The sequence below is a fragment of the Homo sapiens genome, chromosome 12 (genome assembly GCF_000001405.40).
Source record: "Homo sapiens chromosome 12, GRCh38.p14 Primary Assembly".
NCBI classification, from domain to species: domain Eukaryota; kingdom Metazoa; phylum Chordata; class Mammalia; order Primates; family Hominidae; genus Homo; species Homo sapiens.
The window spans coordinates 112698324-112721668 of NC_000012.12; the positions used below are offsets into that span (position 1 = coordinate 112698324).

The 23345-nt window shown below is 41.9% G+C and overlaps 1 protein-coding gene across 1 annotated transcript in view, besides 1 other annotated feature; it reads left to right on the forward strand.

The window, feature by feature from the left end:
• Window positions 1-23345, forward strand: part of RPH3A (rabphilin 3A) — a 323646-nt gene that overhangs the window by 123088 nt on the left and 177213 nt on the right. The window lies entirely within an intron of this gene.
• Window positions 11841-12341: an enhancer, noted in NCBI's record as "H3K4me1 hESC enhancer chr12:113147969-113148469 (GRCh37/hg19 assembly coordinates)". NCBI's record gives its function as "activates a minimal SCP1, AML or CMV promoter by ChIP-STARR-seq in naive H9 embryonic stem cells {active_cell/tissue: H9 hESC(naive)}" and the evidence as "EXISTENCE:reporter gene assay evidence [ECO:0000049][PMID:30033119]".

Sequence of the window (23345 nt, forward strand, 5' to 3'; positions counted from 1 at the left end):
ATCTTTGTGACCTTGAGTTAGACAAAGATTTCTTAGCTAAGACAAAAAAGCATAAACCATAAAATAATGATAAATTTGACCTCATAAAAATGTAGAACTTCTATACTTTGAAAGACACTGTTAAGAAAATGATGACAAGCCACAGACTTAAAGACTATATTTGTAAAACACATAGCTGATAAGTGACATATATTCCCACTGAGATGGCTTTTTAAACCATAAAATAATGATAAATTTGACTTTATAAAAATGTAGAACTTCTATACTTTGAAAGACACTGTTAAGAAAATGATGACAAGCCACAGACTTAAAGACTATATTTGTAAAACACATAGCTGATAAGTGACATATATTCCCACTGAGATGGCTTTTGAAAACAGATAATTAATATCCAATGCTGGTGAGGATATGAAGCCACTGGAACTCTCATACGTTACTGTTGGGAATGGTGTAGCCACTGCAGAAAACGGTAGGATAGTTTTCCCCTCCTTCTCCTTCTCCTACTTCTCCTTCCCCTTTTCCTTCTCCTTCTCCTTCCCCTTCCCCTTCCCCTTCCCCTTCCGCTTCCCTTTCCCCTTCCTCCTCCCCCTCCTCCCCCCGCCCTTCTCCTCCTCCTCCTTCTTCCAGGGTCTTGCTCTGTTGCCCAGGATGCAGTGCTGTGATTATGGCTCACTTCAGCCTTGACCTCCTGGACTCAAGTGATCCTCCTACCTCAGCCTACCAGGTAGCTGGGACGACAGGCATGTGTCACCACACCTGGCTAATTTTTGTATTTTTTCTAGAGATGGGGTTTCACCATGTTGCCCAGGCTTGTGTCAAACTCCTAGGCTCCAGCAATCCTCCTGCCTTGGCCTCCCAAAGTGCTGGGCTTACAGGCAAGAGCCACTGTGCCCAGCCTGAATAGTTTCTTTTAAGGTAAAAAGTATAGTTACTATATGACCCAGCAGTCACACAATTAAATTATTTATCTAAGACAAATGAAAACATATGACCAGATCTGTTTGGGAATGTCTAGAGAAGCTTTATTCATAATTCCTTAAATCTGGAGACAACACAGATGTCTGTCAACAGGTGAATGGATACATAAATTCGGATATATTCATCCATGGGAATGCTACTGAGTAATAAAAAGAAATAAACCACTGATGCACGTGACCACATGGGCAAATCTCAAAAACATTATGTTGAGCAAAAGCAGCCAGACAGAAAAGGGTACAATTCCATTTATATGAAACTGTAGAAAAAGCAAAACCAACCTATAGTGACAGAAAGCAGACAAGTGGTTGCCTGGGGGTGGGTTTGATGAGAAAGAAACAGTAAAGAACTTGTGGGGATGATAGAAACACGTTCTCTTTCTTGATTTGGGTGGTGGTTTCACTTGTCAAAACTCATCAAACTGCACGCTTAAAATCTGTTCGTTTTATTGTATGCAAATTATACCTCAATAAGGTTGATATAAAAGTGAAAAATAAAAAGTCAAACATGCATGAAAGAAAGTCTACATACACTTCTAGGAGCTGGTGGGTTTTCTGGCTTTTTTCTTAAGAATGCCAGAAATTAATTTAACAATTATTTTTACTTTCATATCTTATCCATTTCATGATCTCTAATGCCTAGCAATATGCCTGGCACAGAAGAAGAGTTCAATAAATGTTTGTTAAATAACTGTTAGCCATGCTGAGTTTTTTTTACATTTCCAAGGAGAACAAGCCACTGACTTAAAGGAATAAATCCTTAATGAATTCTTTTTTTTTTTTTCTTTTGAGACAGACTTTCACTCTTGTTGCCTAGGCTGGAGTGCAATGGCGCGATCTTGGCTCTCTGCAACCTCCGCCTCTCGGGTTCAAGCGATTCTCCTGCCTCAGCCTCCCAAGTAGCTGGGATTACAGGCATGCACAACCACTCCCAGCTAATTTTGTATTTTTAGGAGAGACAGGGTTTCATCATGTTGGTCAGTCTGTTCTCGAACTCCTGACCTCAAGTGATCCACCCACCTCTGCTTCCCCAAGTGAATTCTTAATATAATGATTTTTAAGATATTATAGATTGGTGAGAGAGAAGAATTTTTGTCAGACCATCTTTACTAGCCATACAGCCACCCACTATATCTTCACTCCTAAGTCGGAAACTCCTCCTATTCTCATGTAAGCTTCTCAGAAATGGGGAAATCTATTTTTGCAACCTTCACTTCCACTTCCTTCAGCCTTCTCTCATCCACCTGTTGGTTTCTGCCCCTATCCCTCTATGGGAATTACACTCTCCGAGTCTGCACCTGGTCTGCTAATTGCCAAGTTTGTTGGACATTTTCCACATGCTCTTTTGCCAGACTTTACTTTTGCATTTGACATGATTGATCACCCCTTTTCTCTACACTTACACCTTTGGATTTCATTTCAGCAGATTCTCTTGGCTTTCCTTGGCATTTCAAACCTCTGTCTCATCCTTCGCCTACCTCTTAAAAGTTGAGGTTCTCCAAAATACCATTCCAAAGATATCTCTGACATTGTCACTCTTTATACCTCTTTAGGCAATCTTATCCATTCTCATGTCCCAACCACCTTCTCTGGGCTGATGATCCCTTCATCTCCATCCCCAGCACAGCCCTCTCTCCCATACCTCAGGATTTTATGTCTATCTGCCTGCTAGACTTCTTCCCTTCGGTGTCCCCAGACACCTCAAACTCAGCATGGCCCCACTCTGAACTCATGACCTTCCTCCCAGACCTACTCCTCCTTCTCCCTCCATCTTGTAGTCGATGACTTCATCATTCATTCAGTCTCTCAAGCTATGCACTGGGATACAAACTTTTCTTTATCTCTTTTAAAAATTGATTCCCAAGTTTATTTCAACCATCAAAGCCACAGAGAGGGCAGGAGGAGATGGAGTCGAGAGTATAGGTAGAAAGGTGAGTTTTGAACAGAAAAAGAGGTCACCTTACTCTTTAGATGTAAGGAAAAGGTGTAATGATAGATGGGGGTGTGAATCTGGTACAATGCGGGAAGTTGAAAAAGTTCAAGCCTGGTGGCTAAAATTTCTCAGAGAGAAGATGTAATGCTTATTATCTTTTATCCACAGGACAACCATAGGAGAGAGGGAATAAGGTTTCTGGGGCCTCAGTGAGCAGAATCAGGGCTAAGGTAGCTATGAGAAGGTGGGTGGTAGTTTCACCTAAGGTCAGGTCTGAAGCTATCCTATGACAGAAGGCACTGCCTTGAGATTTAGTGAGTTCTGTGTCCCTGGAGGTATTTCAGCTGAGTGTGGGAGGATGTTTGCCAAAAATGGAGTGGGTTATTTCAATCTTATATTGGGGAGTGATAGAGATGGTAAGATGTTATGGTTTAGCTCAATGAGTTCTAATGTCTATTCCAATTCCAAGCACTGACTGGTCTGTGGTTCAAGGCCTTGAGACAAAGAGACAGTAATGAAACATAACAAAGAAGAGATGTGGTTCGTCAGAAGCAAGGAAAACCAAGATGCAGGCACCAATCTTCACATTTTCTATGTTGACAGTGTCCAACCAGAAACTTACAGCAGGGCCCACATTCCTGAAATTATGATTTGAAATAATTTGAGCTATGAGTTCTTTAACTGCAAAATGTACTGTATGCTATTAATCAGAAGTAAGCTTTCCTTCCCCATCACCTCCATTTTTGCGATTAAGAGCAGAGCAGAAGGAGTTAGGGGATTCCACTTGGGATAAGTACTAGGTGGTTTTAGCAAGCACAGCCACCTCCTGAATACCAACTAAGCTGCCTGTATGTCTGGAAAAGTTTGGAGGACAAAAGTTGCCATCAGATGCAGATAAGCTGGCTCAGTTTCAGTGTTATTTTGTATTTGTTTCCCTTTCCACTTTATAGACATAAACTACATGAAGACTCTCTTAGGTTTTAAAATATTCCAGGAAACTAACATCATCGCCTCTTCCCACTCCCCACTTCTTTGCCCATACTTCCCCTTCTGGTCCTATGTCAAGGCTGAAGAAAATAGCCAGATGTTGAGACTTGCAACAAATTCTCTTTGAGTTAATTATGGTCAGAGCCCAGTATTAGGAGCTGGGATGAGAGATTTGCCCAGGAGATCAGGAGTTATTCACAAAGCACTTTTGCCTGGATGGTCTGGTTTGATTATCACTAGGGAAACTGAGGCAGGTACAATGGCCTGCCTCATAGATGAAGACATTGATGCTCAGGGAGATTAAGTGGCTTGCCCAAGCCCACATGGGTGCTAGGGAACAGGTCTCCAGCCTTCATGCTCTTTGCCCTGTGCTGTGCAGCCATAGACTAGAGTGAAGGAATGGCTGTAACTGAGGAGTAAAGAAGAGTGACTGAAGAGAAGAGGGAAGAGCTGGACCAAGGGTCTGGGCCCCACTTGTAGGAGCCTTTGCTAAACTCTCTGCAAGGAGCCCCCCAAAAATGTTCTGCTGGTCAAGTGAGACACATGCCATTAGTGGAGATTCGGAGTTCTTCTTAGCATATTAAAGGACCTGACACGTCAAACTGATAAAGAAACTGGTCAAATTTTTGTATTAGGTTAATTCAACAGTGATGGCTTAGCACGGTGTGGTGGATTGAAGATCACTGCCTTAATTCTACCCCCTTCCCTGTAACATTCCCTTTCCCATCTAGTTTTGAGGGACTTGTCCACTCTGATGCTAGGCTGGGCCACATGACTTGCTCTAGCCAACAGAATGACTAGGAAGCAAGGATGTGCCAGTTCTGAGCCTGTATCTCAAGAGGATGAGGAAGCAGGGATGTGCCAGTTCTGAGACTGTTTTTCAAGAGGACTTGTGTGTTTCCACATGTTCTTTTGCACCTTTGCCATTGCCTTGAGGACATGCTTGGGGTAGTTGTTGGTCCAAGAAAGATGAGAGACAGGTGGAGTTGAGTCCAACCTGGATCAACCAACTCCCAGTGGAGTCAGATGTGTGAATAATAAACTTTTATTATTTGTGGGTTTGTTACACAGCATATTGTGGCTATAAATGATACAGAGGATGAAATAATGAAAAGGTTTTATTTATTCTCCACCATTCTTCCAGCTGAGCATTGTAAAATAGACTTTCCCATCCTTAGTCAGATTCCCCAACTTTTAGGCTAATTTAAGTCATTAAAAGTCCATTCTAGTATAGAACTGCAGTACTGAAGCCATCCTCATGAAGTTAACAAAAATTTTGGACAGAAATATAGTCATAATTCAGCATTAATCAGGCTGCACTTTGACCCACTTCCTTGTAACAGAAAGTAACATAGCACTAGATAAGGCTTTTATTTAAGAATTGCTTAAGCAGATCCTGAATTCCAGTGGAAATGCTGACACAAATCAGCTTACAAACCTCCACAGAGGAGCTGAATCAGCAATGGGAATACAGTTTCTTTATCTCCCTGTCTCACGACTTCACCCTGCATTCTTTGACCAATCCATGATCTCCACATCTGCCCACCCCAAAACCTTTAAAAACCCTAGCCCCAAACTCCTTAGGGAGACAGATTTGAGGTTTCCTCCTGTGTCTTCATTCAGCCGCCCTACTATTAAACCTCATTCTCTGCTGCAACCTGGTTTCTTGGCATATTGACTTGCCATGTGCCTTGGGCAATGAACCTATTACAATTATAACCTCAAATTGAATTTAAATCTCATCTTCTTCTCCTCCCAGATCAGACTTGAGCTACAGCTTCAACTGTTTGGAGTTGAAGGGAAAGGCATACAGTTTGCAGTGAGACACCCCTCTTTTCACTCCATTTCCTCCTATCTTTTCTCTTCTTCTTCTTCTTTTTTTTTTTTTTGAGACCGAGTTTCACTCTGTTGCCCAGGCTGGAGTGCAGTGGCATGATCTCAACTCACTGCAACCTCCACCTCCCAGGTTCAAGCAATTCTCATGCCTCAGCCTCCTGAGTACCTGGGACTACAGGCGTAAGCCGTCACACCTGGATAATTTTTGTATTTTTTAGTAGAGATGGGGTTTCACCATGTTGGGCAGGCTGGTCTCGAACTCCTGACCTCAGGTGATCCGCCCACCTCAGCCTCCCAAAATGCTGGGATTACAGGCATCAGCCACTGCGCTCAGCACCTCCATCTTTTCAAGGTGCAGATCTATGGTGCTGGGTGATGGAGAGACAGAGGGAAGGTGGCCCTTTGCTCAAAGGTTCAGTTGTGTGCTGATGGCCACAGCTGGTAGTGTGGTCTCTGAGTAGGTGGTGTGAGTGGTTTCCTTGAGGGTGGGGTTCCACTTCTCCCTGGACCCATATATCTAAGAAACTGGGAAAGCAATGCGGCTACCATCATCTCTTTCTTCCCAGAGATCCTACCCCAAGGTGCCTTCCAGTCCTGCTGATGGGGGATGCTCACCTCCTGCGATCCTGGGCCAACAGGAAGAGACCCAGTGCACATCCTGTTATTATGCTTTGTTTTGACCAACATTTCAAAAATTTATTTGGCTAAGAATCTCTTTAATATTCTGACTTTGGGAGAGTACACTGCTAATGGATTCCTGGGGAGCTTGGGCATAGTGGAGATTTAATAACCTACTCATTATATGCAGTAGATTGTTACACAAATTTTGCAATAATTATATCTTTTAAATGGGTCGTGCTAACAATCTGGAGATTAAGAACCATAAAAATGAGACTGGCTGAATTGAATGCAGTAGAGACCCAAAGTAATCGCGCTTTAAATTAGGTAGTTTGCTTCTGTCTCAAATAAAAGTTCAATCTGGTATGGAGGCTCTATGTGGTGAAACTATCTTTTCATTTCTGTTATCTTACCATGGGAGTTCTTCTTGATCTCAGGGTACAACATGGCTCACCACCATGTCCATATGCCAGCCAGTTAAAAGGGAGAAAAAGGAAAAGGTAGGGATCTGCTCCTTCTCTTTAAGGGCATGGCTCAGAGATTGCATGTGTCCTTTGTGCTAGCATCCTGTTGACTGGAATCAGTCACCTAGTCATACTTGGCTGCAAGGGAGTCTGGGAAATGTAGTCTTTATCCCAGATTGCCTTGTGTCCAGCTATAAATTCTATTTTTATGGAACAAAGAGGAGAAGATATTGGGAAACAGACAACTAGAAATTCTTGCCACCTACTCAGAGTAACTCTACTCCTTAAAAGGTATTCTAAGGAAATTCAGAAGAAGGAAAAATAATTTGTGCAAGGAGGTTTATAGTTCAATGGTACAATAAACACTATTCTTAATAAAGTTTTGTTTGTGTCCACTGCAGTGATAATTATGAAGGTAATTTAGACCCATGGAAAATTGTGTGGAAAAAAGTAGAATACAATTTCATGCACAAGGAAATTAAGATCCTTTAAAAATTAATTTTTTTAATCGAAATTTTTAAATTTTAAATGTTTTGGCATATTGACTTGTTTAATATGTTTAAATGTTTAAATTTTAAATGTTTTAAATTTAAACTTTTTTTAATTGAAATTGAGATTGGGTCTTACATCTCAGGCTTATATTTTGAGAGGTAATATTTCTTCCTTAACTGCTGTTTTAAAATCTAAGTGTATCAACAGCATGTTAAAATTTAAAGAGGTGACTGTGTCCATCCATTCATCCACCACTCCATTCATCCACCCATCTGTTTTCTAGTTCAATTATTCAATGGCTATGACTTGAGACTCTATTAGGTGCTGGGAATATGATGGATGTGGTTCCTGATTTCATGGAGCTTCTAGTTTGTTGGGAGAAACAGACCCAAACAAATAAATGTATGCATTTCCTGACAGTTGCATAGTGCTATGAAAGACAAGTATAGGATAAAATGACAAAAGATACCATGGAGACTAGAGCAGACACTTTTGGTGCCTCTCCCATATCCCCTTGGCACTAACCATTTTATTATGTGCCGACAGCATGCAACTAATTGTAAAGAACTTTATCTTGATTGTCACATATGATTCAGGCAGAAGTTCTTTGGAGTCAATGTCCCCAGGAAAGGCCCTCAACCAATGACAGATGAGAATTAGAGTATAAATACCCCAGCTTCTCAACTCTTCAGGTGGGATAACTCTGAGACATGTTTTCTCCCTGCCCCAGAACTCCTCAGTGCAATGAAGCCCCAGTCGCCCACACAGAACAGGTTCAAGGATGCACTCTTCAATGTCTTCCTTCTATTCTCTTCTCCTTTTCTCTCCCTACTGATGCTTGCTGGGATCACTTTCCAAACAAACTGCTTGAACTTACATTTCATTCTCCTGCCCTGCTTCTGGAGAAACCCTGCCCCAAATCAGGCACTTCAACAAATGAGAATGGCTTTAGGAAGTGGTTTTTACACAGAGCCTTGAATAACGCATAGAGGTTTAGCTAGGTGAAGATGGTGGATGGGTGGTCCTGACCGAGTGTCTCACTCAAGATTCTTGTTTGCAAGTAACAGAAAAGAAATCTGTTTTTCTTAAGCCAGGGATGGGAGAACTGAATGGCCCCAAATAATAACTTTGAAATGCTCAATTTTATATAGAGAGATAGGGTTTGGAGTCTGGAAGATGTCCTCTCATACTGACATTTGAGCAGAAACAGACTTAAGCTTACTCCTGCACAGGTGTAGAGGCCTTCTAGTGAGCACACAACTTACAGAGGACAAGCTTGTAGTCTGACGAGTCCCTTGATTTGGGGAAGCTGCAACACCTGGTTTCTCCGGGGAAGCCAGAGGATCCCAACAAGCCGTGACCTACATTGTTGATTCTCTGCAAGGGCTTTGTACCCCAAGAGGCAGTGGAGTGGGCAGGGGTTTTTAAACAGTGCTTCTTGCCACACTGAGGGTTTCTTTCAGCTTTCTCAGAATGGGGCCATGTAAGAGGTAAGCTGCAAATGCTCAGAGTTTCATTGTGAGATGCTTGAAGAGAGTCTTTTGATGCTAAAAAAATCATTTGAAAATGAGCTTACCTGGCTGGAATCCTATATTTGTCACTCATTAGCTGTGTGGCCCTAGGTAAGTTAATTAGCCTCTCCAAACTGCTTTATCTTCCTCCTGTCCCTTCTCCTCCTCGACCATCACCATCCACATCATTACCTAAACATTGACTATGATAATTGGTTTAGATACATTCTGCCATTGACTTCTCACACCAACCCCTTTAGTTAGGTAGTTTTACCCTAACTTTACAGGTGAGGAAACTGGGGCCTAGGAAGATTGCCTCACTTCTCCAAGATCACCCAATAGGTGGCAGGGCTGGGATTTAAACCCAGATCAGTCTGACTTCAAAGCCTGTAGTCCTAACCACAAATAGGGTGATTGTCAGGATAAATGAGAATATATAGATACAAGCATATTGCCTATCTCTGTGCCTGCCATGTAATTGGCTTTTAACAAGTTATAGCAATTGTGATATTCACCTTGTTTACATCATTGGGTATTTGCCATCCCAGAATGTGACTAGGCCTTTGGGGACATTTGCAGAGCAGGGAGAGATTTTATATTTATCAAGAAGTATAGCTAATCCTAACTTCATTTACTTTTCTCTTTAGGGACAGTCAAGGTGTAATGGTGCCAGGCCCATTGCCTGATGTGCAGCAAGGCAACATGCCTAGATGCTGGGTTGCAGCAGAGAAAGTCTTAGTTGTAAGGCTGCCAAGTGAGGAGATAGGAGGAAAGCTCCAATCCACCTCCATGAAGAATTTGGATCTAGAATTTTAAGGAGTTTGGATGGGTAGTGGGCCAAGGTGTTGATTGGTCAAAGAGTACGGGCTGAAGTCGTGGGACGGGAAGCTGAAGAAACCGCATTCTCATGCTGACTTAGCTCCTTGGTGGAATCTTCAGACTAGTTGGCTTCAACTGTTCTGAAAACATCTCAAACAGAAAGTCTTGGGCTCCTAACATCTATAGGAACAATGAGGAAGTTCATGGTTTATGTCACAGCCTATGTGGTCCATAAGTAGCTACAGGGAAGTAGGTCAAATGGCAACCTGATCAATGCCCTCTCTGTACCTTTATCTAAAGTCTGGCATGTAATTCTCGTTAACCCTGTGGAGATGGTGTTAACAGTGCAGTCTTCCAGGACCAGGAGGGGAAAAGGGGCACATAACCTCTTTGGGCTGTCCAGGCGGATGGCGGCATTTGCAAGGCTGCTGGGAAGAGAGATGGGGCCAGCGCTGGAATTGGCTTCAGAGGTAGTGGCTGGTCATTAATGAGATGCCAAAATGGGGGCGTACAAGGGATCAAGCAGCAAGTGTTCGTGGAGAGTCCACTGTGTGCTCAGCAAAGCGTTAGGACCAGCGTGTGGGAGGAGCTGGTGGGGAGCAAAGCAGTGGGGTTGTGGGTCCATTTGCTCCTCCAGAGGGACACCGAGTGACATCAGTGCCTCTGTAGTGATGAGCAGAGTTGCTACCTCTGTACTCTGGGAGGCAGCTTGGTTTGTGTCTGAAAGCCTTTGTTGGTGGATGAGTGTCCATGTATCTGATCTCCATGACCTCAGAGAATTATCAAGCGCCCAGGGGATCGGAGCCTCCTGCGAAAATAGAAGGACCTAAAGGTACCAGGTGAAAGGGATGGCTGGGAAGTCCCACGGGCAAGTTTTCTTTTCCTTTGTCCTTTGTTTTCTTTCTCTCCCAGATCTGGATCCTATAAAGAATGCTATAGATAGGAAAATAAATAAAAACTCTATCACAGATTTGATTTTTACTCTCATTTATTGGAGTTCAGGCATACAGGACACAGAGAAGGGAAATAAACAGCAATTATATAAGGTTTCTGTCAAAAAATTTTCTCTATTTTTATGGCAATACAACCACCAAAACCCTAAAACTCTTACTCTCTTAAAATGCAGCTCCCTTTGATGGGTGTGTATGGCAAAGGTGACAAGTGATTTTATTTTGATTTTTAAAAACAGACCTGCTAGAACATCTGCCACACTAGGTGTTGAAAAAGTGAGCTGTTTAGGTACCTGACCACTCTTAGTTCCAGTAAATACTTTTAATAATAAAAGTAGCTATTTAAAAATATTTACTCTTGGCTGGGAGAAGTGGCTCATGCCTGTAATCCCAGCACTTTGAGAGGCCAAGGTGGGAGGATTGCTTGAGGCCAGGAGTTTGAGACCAGCCTGGGTAACAAAGTGAGACCCTGTCTCTATAAAAAAATAAAAAATTACCCAGGGTTAGTGATGTGTGTCTGTAGTTCCAGCTACTCAGGAGGCTGAGGCAGGAGGATCACTTGAGCCTGGGAGTTCAAGGTTGAAGTGAGCCATGCTCACGCCACTGCACTCCAGCCTGGGTGACAGAGCGAAACCCTGTCTCAAAAAAAAAAAAAAAAATTACTCTCGTGTCAGGTGCTGTGCATGCTATGCATTGTTTATTTATTCCCCAAATGTTTATTAAGCACCTACTATGTGCCAGGCACTGTGCTATATACCAGTGATTTGAATGTGGGGTCTGGGACATCTGAAAAAATGCTGTTTAAACCAAGCTTGTAGGTTGCAGGTGGGTCATTCCAACCAAGAAACCAGGGTAGTAGAGGATCTTCCCGGCGGACAACACAGCAAGCATGAAGGTTCATTTAATCCTCACAATAACACAGTGGGGCGCTGATTATCCCCCCACTTTACAGAGGAGGAAAGTGAGGCTCAGACATGTTTAATTGTTTGCCCAAGGCCACAAAGCAGCCCAAAGCCGGAGCATCCTCCTTTTGTAGCTTCCCCAGGCCCTGTGTTCATGGCTGGTTGCCTTTTTTCTTTTTTTTTGAGACGGAGTCTTACTCTGTCGCCCAGGCTAGAGTGCAGTGGCATGATCTCGGCTCACTGCAAGCTCCGCCGCCCGGGTTCACACCATTCTCCTGCCTCAGCCTCCCGAGTAGCTGGGACTACAGGCGCCCGCCACTACGCCCGGCTAATTTTATTTGTATGTTTAGTAGAGACGGGGTTTCACCCTGTTAGCCAGGATGGTCTCGATCTCCTGACCTCGTGATCCGCCTGTCTCGGCCTCCCAAAGTGCTGGGATTACAGGCTTGAGCCACCGCGCCCGGCCTGGTTGCCTTTCTTGACCGTAGTTTCAGCGCTGAAAGTCCCACATCCCAGAACCCCGTTCTTCCTGGGCAAACTGGGACTGTTGATTTTCTTAGGTTGGAATGTTTGGCTGAGATCAAGCCAAGGAGGGTAGGAGGGGCGGTTTGAAGCTTTCAGGAGGAGAGAAGTCAGGAGGCTGCTCCTTGTACCCTGTAAAGTCCCCAGGCGGCCATTCCATGATCCCAGGCCACAGCACTCTGGCCTCTGCCAGTTCCCTTTCAGGCCCAATCATATTTGTAGTGTTGTGACACGTCCTTAAGGTCCCAGAGGCTAAAAGCAAGAGCTTCCCTAGTGTGCATAGACTCCACTTGTACATAACAAATGAGGCAGTTTTGCCTGGAGCTTAACATACAGAAGAGAAAACAAAGTGAATCCAGGTACAGTCAGCAGGAAGATATGTAAAGAAGTCATTATAAATTACATATTATGTTTCCACAGTGGGCTGCCTGATGATTCAAAAACATTACTTAAAAATCTTTCCCTTCCCTTTCTTTTCCGTTTCTGTGTATTTTTTATTACCCTTTCTTTTTGCCTTTCTCCCTTCCTTTTATCTTGAACATGAGTCTCTTATGTAACACAGCACCTAGCACATAGTAGGTGCTTAATAAATATTTGTTGAATGAATAAGTGAATGAAACAATTCAGTAGGCACTTCAGAGATGCAATAAATTAGCTTAGAATGTTATCTCCAGTTCAGAAGAACTCCAAGCAGGCAGCAACAACTATTCTTTCTTTGATCAAGAACAGCGTTTGGGAGAATTCAGATCAATTTTAGGGTAGCCGGATCCTCCTATCACAACATTTCTTTCTTGATGAGGTCTGTACACACCCTGCATCTGAATCACTCAAGGTGCTTATTAAATACTTACAGTTCTTAGGCTCATTCCTGGACCTATTGAGTCAGAACAGTGGCAGGGGCAGGGATTTGCATTTCTAATAAGCTCCCGGAGTGTTTCTTGTGCATACCCAAACTGCCCTATATAAGCATAGTTTGTTCACTTTGATCATTTGTGCTGCAATCCTGGGCCTCCCTCCTCCTTTCTGCTAAAAGTTTATTTGTTTCTTCCTTAAAGCCTTGAGAAGAAAAAAAAAAGAGCACATCTCTTTGGGGACGACTTTCAGTTGAAAAGAACTGACAAAAAGTTGAAATGATAGCAATGCAATATAATTTTCTCATTCTCCCTCTGTTCTTGCAGTGTGTTGCATTACTTGGCATAGATGTTTTCTGGGGGGTATAAGCTAATGGAATTTACTCAAGCACTTCAGAAACGAGTGGTGTGTTTTATATTTCTAATAAAGCTTTCCTTTCCTTGTGGTTGCAATGGCCACGAATTTGCTTCACTGGACTTCAGGTTGTTAACCAATGACAAATGACTGCTCTTCTGGGCATCTCATTGGGCGGGCTCTGTTATCCAGTGCAGGTAGGAGGAGTGATAACCCATACTGCTTGCTGGGGAGAATGCTGCATCTGTCCACTTTTTGCTGCAATCTCTCTTTCCTCGTTCCTTGTTCTCTGTACAATTTTTTTCTTTTTTTGAGACAGAGTTTTGTTCTTGTTGCCCAGGCTGGAGTGCAATGGTGCGATCTCAGCTCACTACAACCTCTGCCTCCCGGGTTCAAGCAATTCTCCTGCCTCAGCCTCCAGAGTAGCTGGGATTACAGGCATGCACCTCCATACCTGGCTAATTTTGTATTTTTAGTAGAGATGGGGTTTCTCCATGTTGGTCAGGTTGGTCTCAAACTCCTGACCTCAGGTGATCTGCCCTCCTCAGCCTCCCAAAGTACTGGGATTTCAGGGGTGAGCCACCATGCCCGGCCTCTGTACATTTTAGTTCTTAGGTTAATTTTGGTTCTGTCATCTGAATGCTGTATTTAATTGGAGTTAAAGAAAACACACACACGCATGCACGCACGCAGGCACGCACGTAATCCACCCAGACCAACATTTTCTATTCTTCATTATTCATAAGTAAGATTTATTAGAAAGGTTGATTTGGATGAATTGATGTGTTATAGATCTAGATTCTGTTATGAACATAGGAAACTGTCCCTTTGTAGGTCAAAAAATGGTCCAACGTTGGCAATTTCTTATGTTTCAATCTAATAGAAACCGCATAAATTATCCAGATGTCTATTTTTAAATTGTTATTTTAAATATACAAAATATTAAGACATACAAAAAGGTGTAAAGAATAACATAATGAACACCCATGTACTCACCATCCAGTTTAAGAACTAAGATGCTACTGAAGCAATCACAGCCCTGTCCCCAATCACATGTCCCTCATGCCCCGACCAGAGGTAGCCTGCATTATGAATTTGGTGCTCATTTGTCCCCTACTTGTGTGTGTGTGTGTGTATGTGTGTGTGTGTGTATGTGTATATATATTTTGTTTGTTTGTTTTGTTTTGTTTTTGAGACAGGGTCTCACTCTGTTGCCCAGACTGGAGTGCAGTGGTGTGATCATGGCTCATGGCAGCCTCAAACTCCTGGGCTCATGTGATCCTCCCATCTCAGCCTCCTGAGTAGCTGGGACTGTGTGCCACCACACCCAGCTCACTTTTTTTTCTTCTTCTTCTTCTTCTTCTTCCTCTTCTTCTTCTTCTTCTTCCTCTTCTTCTTCTTCTTCTTCTTCTTCTTCTTCTTCTTCTTTCTTCTTCTTTCTTCTTCGTCGTCTTTGTCTTCCTCTTCCTCTTCCTCTTCCTCTTCCTCTTCTTCTTCTTCTTCTTCTTCTTCTCCTTCTTCTTCTTCTTCTTCTTCTTCTTCTTCTTCTTCTTCTTCTTCTTCTTTTATTTTTTTGTAGAGAAAGGGTCTCACCATGTTGCCCAGGCTGGTCTCGAACTCCTGGGTTCAAGGGATCCTCATGCCTTGGCCTCTCAAAGTGCTGGGATTATAGGCATAAGCCACCATGCCTGACATGTATTTGTATATATATAACCTACTGCATATAGCCTATTGTATTGTCTTGCACATTTCTTTATTTAAATAATAAAGTATACTTATCCTTCTGCAACTAGCTTTTTTCACTCAACATCAAGGTCGAGACTCATTCATGTTGATCTGTGTCCCTCTAGTTCAATGTTATTTTCAAAAACCAAGTAGCTGAAAGGATTTGTAGTAAAATCAACAGTGTGTAGAAAAGAGAGCATATTTCTTTTTTACAATCTTTTTCCCGACCATCAAGCCAAGCTTGGTTCAGTCCATATTTTTGGAAAATATTTGTATTGAGAGAGATTACACAAGATTTGCAGGAAAAAAAAAAGCAGCCTAACAATAAACAATGGAGCTGTGTGGCTGTTTTGAGACTCATGCTTTTGCCAGAGTAAGATAATTTCTTGGTACAAAGTCAGAAAAGAGTCCCACCAGCTGGCAGTGTCTGGCATATGGTGGATGTTCAATAAATATTTGTTCCTTGAATAAATTAAAGGGGAGAGGCACCCAATTTGAAAGGACTCAAGGGATGGTGTAAGTGAGGTCTGAGCTAAAATCAGTTTTGTTCTTTGTTTCGAATTAGTTATTGTTACAGGAGGGGAAGGAGGCTTGGATGAGAAATGAGAGAATTGAATTCATGAGACCAGGCAGCTGGCTTCAGTGGCTGAGACGTGGGTTCAGATTCTGACATTTATTAGGCGACCATGGCCAAGTTGCCTAATCTCACGGTGTGCCTCAGTTTCCCCACCTGTAAAATGGGTGTAATAGGAGGGTACCCCCTCATGGGATAACATGAGGCCTATAGGTGGTTGGTACATGAAGTGTGTGGCACATGTTCTGGTCTCTAATAAGTGCTCAGAAAATGTCGTTAAGATTCTGTCCCAATGTGTCTATCCCGTGGGTTCAGAAGGCTGGAGAGGGCACGAGCAGCCTCCTAGATATTGCAGACCCCTGGGAACAGCCATCCTTTAGGAGGGTGCCTGTATCTGGAAGGTGGATCATCTAGTCACAGCAGTGCATCTTGAGGCAGGGCTTTAAATGTCAAAGAAAATGGTTTAGGATGTGATTCATGAGGCGAGGAGCTGATGCACACAGGAAGATGTCAGAAGACATACAGGTTACTGTGAAGGACTCAGGGTGCGTGCAGGAGCCAGGCCTCGCTCTAATCAAGCAGAACCAGCTTGCACAGTCATCAGCGTTAGTGTGCCTATGGGAGAACAGAAGAGGCAAAGCCTTGTTTGCGTTTTGGGTCTACGTCTCTGGGTTGTGCAGGGCTGAAGGGGGATAGCTATATTATTTGCATATTGCTGAATAAGAGGCATTTGATTGAGTTGCTTGTGAGAAAGTATAAAAGCCCAATTATGTTATTTTCAAGTATAGGATTTTCTCTTTCCGTCTTTCCTGGGCAGTAAAGAGAGCCTTTAAATTAATTCAGGGCAGACTCATAGGTTTTGTCTCATAGGGCACTTGGATTGATTGGAATCGATGGAGTGACGGTTGAGGATTTAAGGCCACACTCAGGCTCTGCAGGAAAAGTACTATGGTTGATTAGCAATGTCTGCCACAAGGAAAGGCTAGTAATGGAATGCATGCTGCATATCAACCATCCACATATTCATTTAAAGTATAGCCGGTCTATTTTTGCTTCTATACTTTGCTCATGTTTCTTTCTCTTTTTCTAAAATTACTTCCCTTTTCTTCTCTGCTGATCCAAATCCTTTTCCTGCATCTCCATCCAATTTAAGTTCCACCTCCTCCAGGAAGCCTTCTCTGATATATCTAATCTACACCGATTTCTCCTTACAATTCTTAGCGTTTGTACTATTTAATGAATATTTATATTAACATCATTTTTCCATCTCTCCATATGCTTTTACCACATGAATCTTCTTTCTGAATTTCAAGCATATGAGGTTTGCTCCTGCCTTAGTACCTTTGAACCAGCTCTTCCCTCTACCTAGAGCACCCTTTCTCCAGGTATTCACTTGCCTAGCTCCTTCTCATCATTAGCTCTCTACTGAAATGCCACTTCCTTGAGAAGCCCTCCCTGAAACCACTCCATATAACCCCCAGACCTTCTCTCTGTCCTATCACATTGTTATATTTTCCTCAAGGTACTTACTGCTGCTTGATAACTTCTTATTGATTTGTTTGCTTATTTATGTATTGCCTTTTCCTCTACCCCTCTCCACTCAAATGTAAGCACCATAAGAGCCGGGACTCTCACTGTTTTCTTCTTTATAATATTCCTAGCATCTACAATGGTGCCTAGCATTAGAAGGTAACCAAATAATAGTTGAATCAATGAAGGTCTTAGGATATTATTTGCATTATGTGAAGACTTTAATTTGTATGTAATGATTAAACTTTTCTTGGCTGTAGATTTTTCTCTTCCCAACTACATGGTGAGCTCACAGTGGGCAGGGACCAGTCATATACCCCTTGGCATTCCAGAGCAGCTGTCATGATGTTACCGGAAAGGGGTCCCAATCCGGACCCCAAGAGAGGGTTCTTGGATCTTTCCCAAGAAAGAATTCAGAGTAAGCCCATACAGTAAAGTGAAAGCAAGTTTACTAAGAAAGTAATGGAATAAAAGAATAGTCCTGAGGGCTGCTGGTTACCCATTTTTGTGGTTATTTCTTAATTATATGCTAAACAAGGGGTGGATTATTCATGCGTTTTCCAGGAAAGGGGTGGGCAATTCTCAGAACTGAGGGTTCCTCCCATTTTTAGACTGTATAGGATAATTTCCTGATATTGCCATGGCATTTGTAAACTGTTATGGCACTGGTGGGAGTGTTTCTTAGCATGCTAATACATTATAATTAGTGTATAATGAGCAGTGAGGATGACCGGAGGTTACTTTTGTTGCCATCTTGGTTTTGGTAGGTTTTGGCCGCCTCCCTTACCGCGTGCAGTTTTATCAGCAAGGTCTTTATGACCTGTATCTTGTGTTGACCTCCTATCTCATCTTGTGACTTAGAATGCCTAACCTCCTGGGAATGCAGCCCAGTAGGTCTCAGCCTTATGTTACCCAGCCTCTACACAAGATGGAGTCACTCTGGTTTGAATGCCTCTGACGATGGGGTACTCACTAAATATTACTGAATGACTGAATGAAGGAGCAGAACAGTATGTTCAGTGAGCATCCATTTGTATGAGTTAGAGTCCTGGTTTGCCTGCTTTAACAGTGGCATTCAGAAAGATACAAATTCATTTCTTTCTCATGTAATAGTCTCTAGATACAGGAGGATGGATGCCTCTGCTATCTTCACGTATCGCTTCTGTCTCTGGGTTCAAGGCATTGGCTCTAGTTCTGGCTCTCTAGCCAACAACACAAACGTTCTGTTAAAGGCACAAGTTGGAAGGGCACATCTCACTTTCACCCGTGTCTCATTGGCCACACCAAGTCACATGCCCACACCTAAGTGGAGGCTGGGAAATGTAGTCTCTGGCTAGGCAGCCATGTTTCCAGCTAAAACTTTGGATTATTATTGAATAGGGGAGGAAAGATGTTGGGGGACAATTAGTGGTCTTTTCCCATAACAGTTCAATTTGATGAAAATTTATTATTTTTTCCTGTGCTAAGCATGGCACTGGACACTCTGGTGAGCACAGGTACACATTGGGCATATTCCCTGTCCTGTAGAAGTCTATGGCCTAGTGGACAAGACAAGCAAGTAACTCTAATTCTTGGAGCTTTGCCTGGAGTAAGAGTTGATTAAATGAATAATAGCAAACATCAATCGCTGTGGACTTACTATGTTGGAAGGCACTTTGTGTTCTTCGTCCCATTTAATTCTTATAACGGCCTATAACATAGCCCCATTTTCCAGATGAGGCTCACAGAAGTATTTTAAGATATTTTGGATTTGTGGATGGTATAATCAATTGAAGGGCTAATCTCAATTTGTTTAGTTTTTATTTATTTCTAAATTTATAGATAGTAAAATTCACTCTTTACAGTACACAGTTCTATGAGTTTTGACGAATGCATAGTGACGTAACCACTACCTCAATCAAGATACAGAACCACCACCCCCATCCCAAATTCTCTCATGCTGCCTATTCTCCTACCCTCAACCTCTGGCAACCGTTGATCTGTTCTTCATTCCTATAGTTTTGCCTTTTCCAGAATGTCATACACATGAAATATTGTAATATACATTAGGTTGGTGCAAAAGTAATTACGGTTTTTGCCATTACTTTTAATTATATATACTTTCTGTGTTATATATAATATATATGTAATATATCCCTTTGAATCTGGCTTCTTTCATTTTGCATAATGCATTTGAGATACATCAATGTTTTTGTGTATATTAGTAGCTCATTCCTTTTTATTGATCAGTAGTATTCCATTGTGGTTTGTTTATTCATTCTCTGGTGGAGGAACATTTTGGTTGTTTCCAGTTTGGGGTAACTGTAAATAAAGCAGTTACAAACATTTGTGTACTGGTTTTGTGTGAATATAGGTTTTCATTTTTTTTTTTTTTTGGGTAATACCAATGAATAGGATTGCAGGTTTGCATGGTAAACATATGTTTAACTTTATCACAAATTGCCAAACTGTTTTCCATGGTGGGTGTACCATTTGTATTTCCCCCAGCAATAGATGAGGGTTCTAGATGCTTCATGTCCTCGCTAAGTCTTGTCATTGTGTTGTTGTTGATAGTCACTTTAATAGACATGTAGTACTGCTACCCATTTAGAAAGCATTTTGACCCTGCTTTGAAGCATGGCTGTTTTTCTCTTCTCCAGGCAACGTTCGTTCTACATAATTCAGCACCAGCTTAGATTCTCACTATCAAATTGAACCCTTTCCCCTTTGCTATCCACACAGGTAAGGGTAAGGGGGAATTTATTTTTCCTACTAACTGTGCTGGCTAGTGCAGTTCTTAGCTTTCCCAAGGAAGGAATGACTTGAGAAATAAATTTATTCTAGCCCAGGGCTTGAGAAAGATCTGCCTTCAATTAGCCAGCAGTATATGTTGACCTATTCAAACCAAACCATTATGACTCAGGTTGCATTAAGTTAAAAACATATTTAAATCCATATTTGGATTATGAAAGCAAATGGAATACATCAAGGGCTCCATGAATAAGTAACATTTTCATATTTTCTTAAAGGACAAATGTAGAGAGGGAAAGAAAAATTTTCTTCCCAGGGAATTATGTCTAAAGTCTATAACAATGATTCCCAAATGGGGGATGGGGGTGGGTGTGGGGTGCAAATCAGAGCTGTCAAAATTACTTGTGATGAGGAGTGTTTCATTACACATGCATACACACTCTTTCTCCCCAGGAGGATTCTGACCCTTCCATGGGGGAGTGTGGGCCCTTTCCTTCAGTTGAGAACTATTGCCACTGCGCGTTGCTGAGGGGAGTAGATCGTCTACTGGCCATGTTGGGGCAGAAAGAAGGTGGAGACTCTTCTCTAACATTGTAATTCAATGCAGGGGTGGCAAAGAAAGCAACATGTGATTCTCTCATTCCAACTTCAATCCATTGGTAATGGCTGCCTGTAGCCCTGCATAGAGGAAGATGGCAGCCTCTTCAGGCTTAGAAGGAAGGAGAGCAGGAATTGATTGGTGATGTTTGCCATGGGCACAAGCCAGCTGATATTCAGATCTGTGCCATGTGTTTGCTGTCCTTGAAATAAGAATCTTCTAAAGATCTTTGGTTTCTTTCTTCTCACAGAATTTATGATTCCACCTTAATGTTGGTAAGGCTTCATCTTGGAGATGGTAATAAATTTGTAATGCTCTGTCAAGTGGTTTTCACCTCCCAGAGGTCATTTGGCAATGCCATTTTTTGTTGTCACAAATGGAGGGGTGCTACTGGCATATGGTGGGTAGAAGAAAGCTGCTAAATATCCTACAATACACAGGGCATTCCCCTAAAACAAAAAATTATCATCTTCATATGCCAATAGTGCTGAGGTTAAGAAACCTTGCTCTATATCCTCCAGTGTTTCTTAGGATTATCTCCTAAATATATATCTTGAGATCTGACACTGGTAGAGAAATGGGGAAGTCAGACAGGAATGAGAAGGCATTCAATAAAGGACCCATTATCAAACCATCCACCAGAGATTAATCCTGCAAGGAAACTCTGAGTCAATGTAGAACGCATACCTCAGTTATCCCATCTGAGAGGTGAGGGAGCTGGGATATTTATGCACCAATTCCCCATGGTCATTACTTGAAGGCTGTTCCCAAATGACATTTTGAGAGCACCATTTATTCCCCAATAATAGCGTGCATTGTGCTGTATGTAAGAGCTTGTCTAATGGTCTTCCCCAGTAGATTGAACACTCCATGAGGGCAGGGACCATATCTATCTTGCTTATCATCATAGCTCCAGCATGTAGTAGACATTCAATAAAGGTTTGTGGAATGACTAAATGACTAACAGCCTCTTTGGGATAGGCATACAAGAATGGCATGCAATAAATTAGGGCAGTTGACTAATACATTTTGACTATGGGGTAAGAGGTTATAACAGAGAAGATGGGAGAAGTTGACCAATCTGTGTTCTTACGTTTGATTAAGGGATTGCCCATCTTGTCATACTGATAGAAGCCATATTAGATACTGCTGCAGAACTTTGTATATGCTGCATCTCACCACCACCTTGTTTTTCTATCTTTATTCATTAGTCTTCCTCCTCACATATCACTTGCTTTCTTTTCTGAGTCAGTTTAACTTCGAGCCTATAGTTTTTTTCTTTTCTTCCTTCTCCCCATTGCACCAAAATAATGTGAAGAAAAAGACAAGTCAGAATTTCTGTCCCCACAACATATTTCAGGCTCATTCTGCACTCAGGTTGTTTTCTGAATCTCTTTGTTATGGCAGAGAAGCAGATTGAAGTTTGAGATTGACAACTGTCTCCTCCCCATGATTGGCAGTGAGACCCTTGTGTGTGTGTGGTATGTGCACATGCACGTGTGCTCATGCATCCATGCATGTGTATGTGTGTCTTTGGAGATTTCAGGAGGAACTGATTAAATCCTGCAAAGTTCAATGTCAGACTGAATATTTTCATGTGAGGTAATCAAGCTAGGCATCTGAACATAATGATAGATGACATGGGGGCCAACCAATACATCTTAGGCTATCAGATTGTGGCAGGCAGATGATGTTTTCCACATGTTGGTGGCCATATTGTTTCTTTGTTCTGTAAATATTGGTAGCTCTTGCTAAATTAAAAGAACAAGATTTTCCTTCCAGTTTTAATGAAGATTTATGATAACCAGGAGACAGTAAATTATGGTGTTTGTGTCAGTTAGCTATTGCTGTGTAACAAACCACCTCTAAATCTCAGTGACGTGCAACAAATGTTTGGTTCTTGCTCATAAGTTTGCAGGTTGGCTGGAGTGATTCTCTTTCATTTGTCTCTTATCCTTTTCCTGGGACTAGTAGGCCATACAAGGCATGTTCTTTTCTTGGTACTGGCAAAATTTAAAGAAGGCAAGCCCAACTGTGCAAGCATATTCCAATCCTATGCTTGTGTCACATATGCAGGTATCATATTGAGCAAGTCAGAGCACATGGTTGAGCCTGAAGTCAAGAGGTAGGGAAGTACACTTGGTCTTTTGTGGGAGGAACTCAAAGTTACATGGCAAAGGGCATGGTTACAGGAAAGGATGAAGAATTGGAGCAATGTTTCAGTCTATCACAGTGTGTAGAGCTTGGGTTATGGAGTCAGAAAGACCTGGATTTAAACCTTTGCTCCTCCATTTACTAATTATGACTTGACCAAATGACTTAGCCTCTTTAAACTTTGGTTTCTCATCCATCTGACAAATAGTTATAATAATGGTATCCACACTTCAGTATTGTTGAGAGGGTTAAATGAAATGATGCATGTAAGCTACCTAGCATAGTTTCTGGCACACGGCAAGTGTTCAATAAATTTCAGCTAAAAACAAAGCTCTAAATAGTAGGATAAGCTCTTCCAGGGGTGTGGATATGAACTAGACATCTACTCTTGACATTAGCCGCCATGAAAATTACTCCTCCATTGCCCTTCCTGGAATTTCAGGGACCTGAAGGAGTTGGTGAATCTCCAAATATGCCTAGCTTAGGTCACAAGAAATGATCTGAAAGGATCTGAGCCTTGGAAAAGGAAGAATGTTAAACTTTAAATTGATCAGCAGAAAAATATACAACAGCATTTACTCAGGATAGCAATATTTCAGGGAAGCAAACAGATGGAGGGCCAGATTGTGAATATATCAGACTCCAAGGAATCTATTAGAAAACATTAATGTACTTGTTATAGTTAAATATTTTAAATTTGTTGGGCTGACAATTATAAGCAAAATAATATCCCTTTATTAAAAAATTAAAGTAGCCTACAGTATTATAGAGCAGTAAGATTAGAAAATGGATTTTTTTTTTTTTTTGGTGGTGATCTACC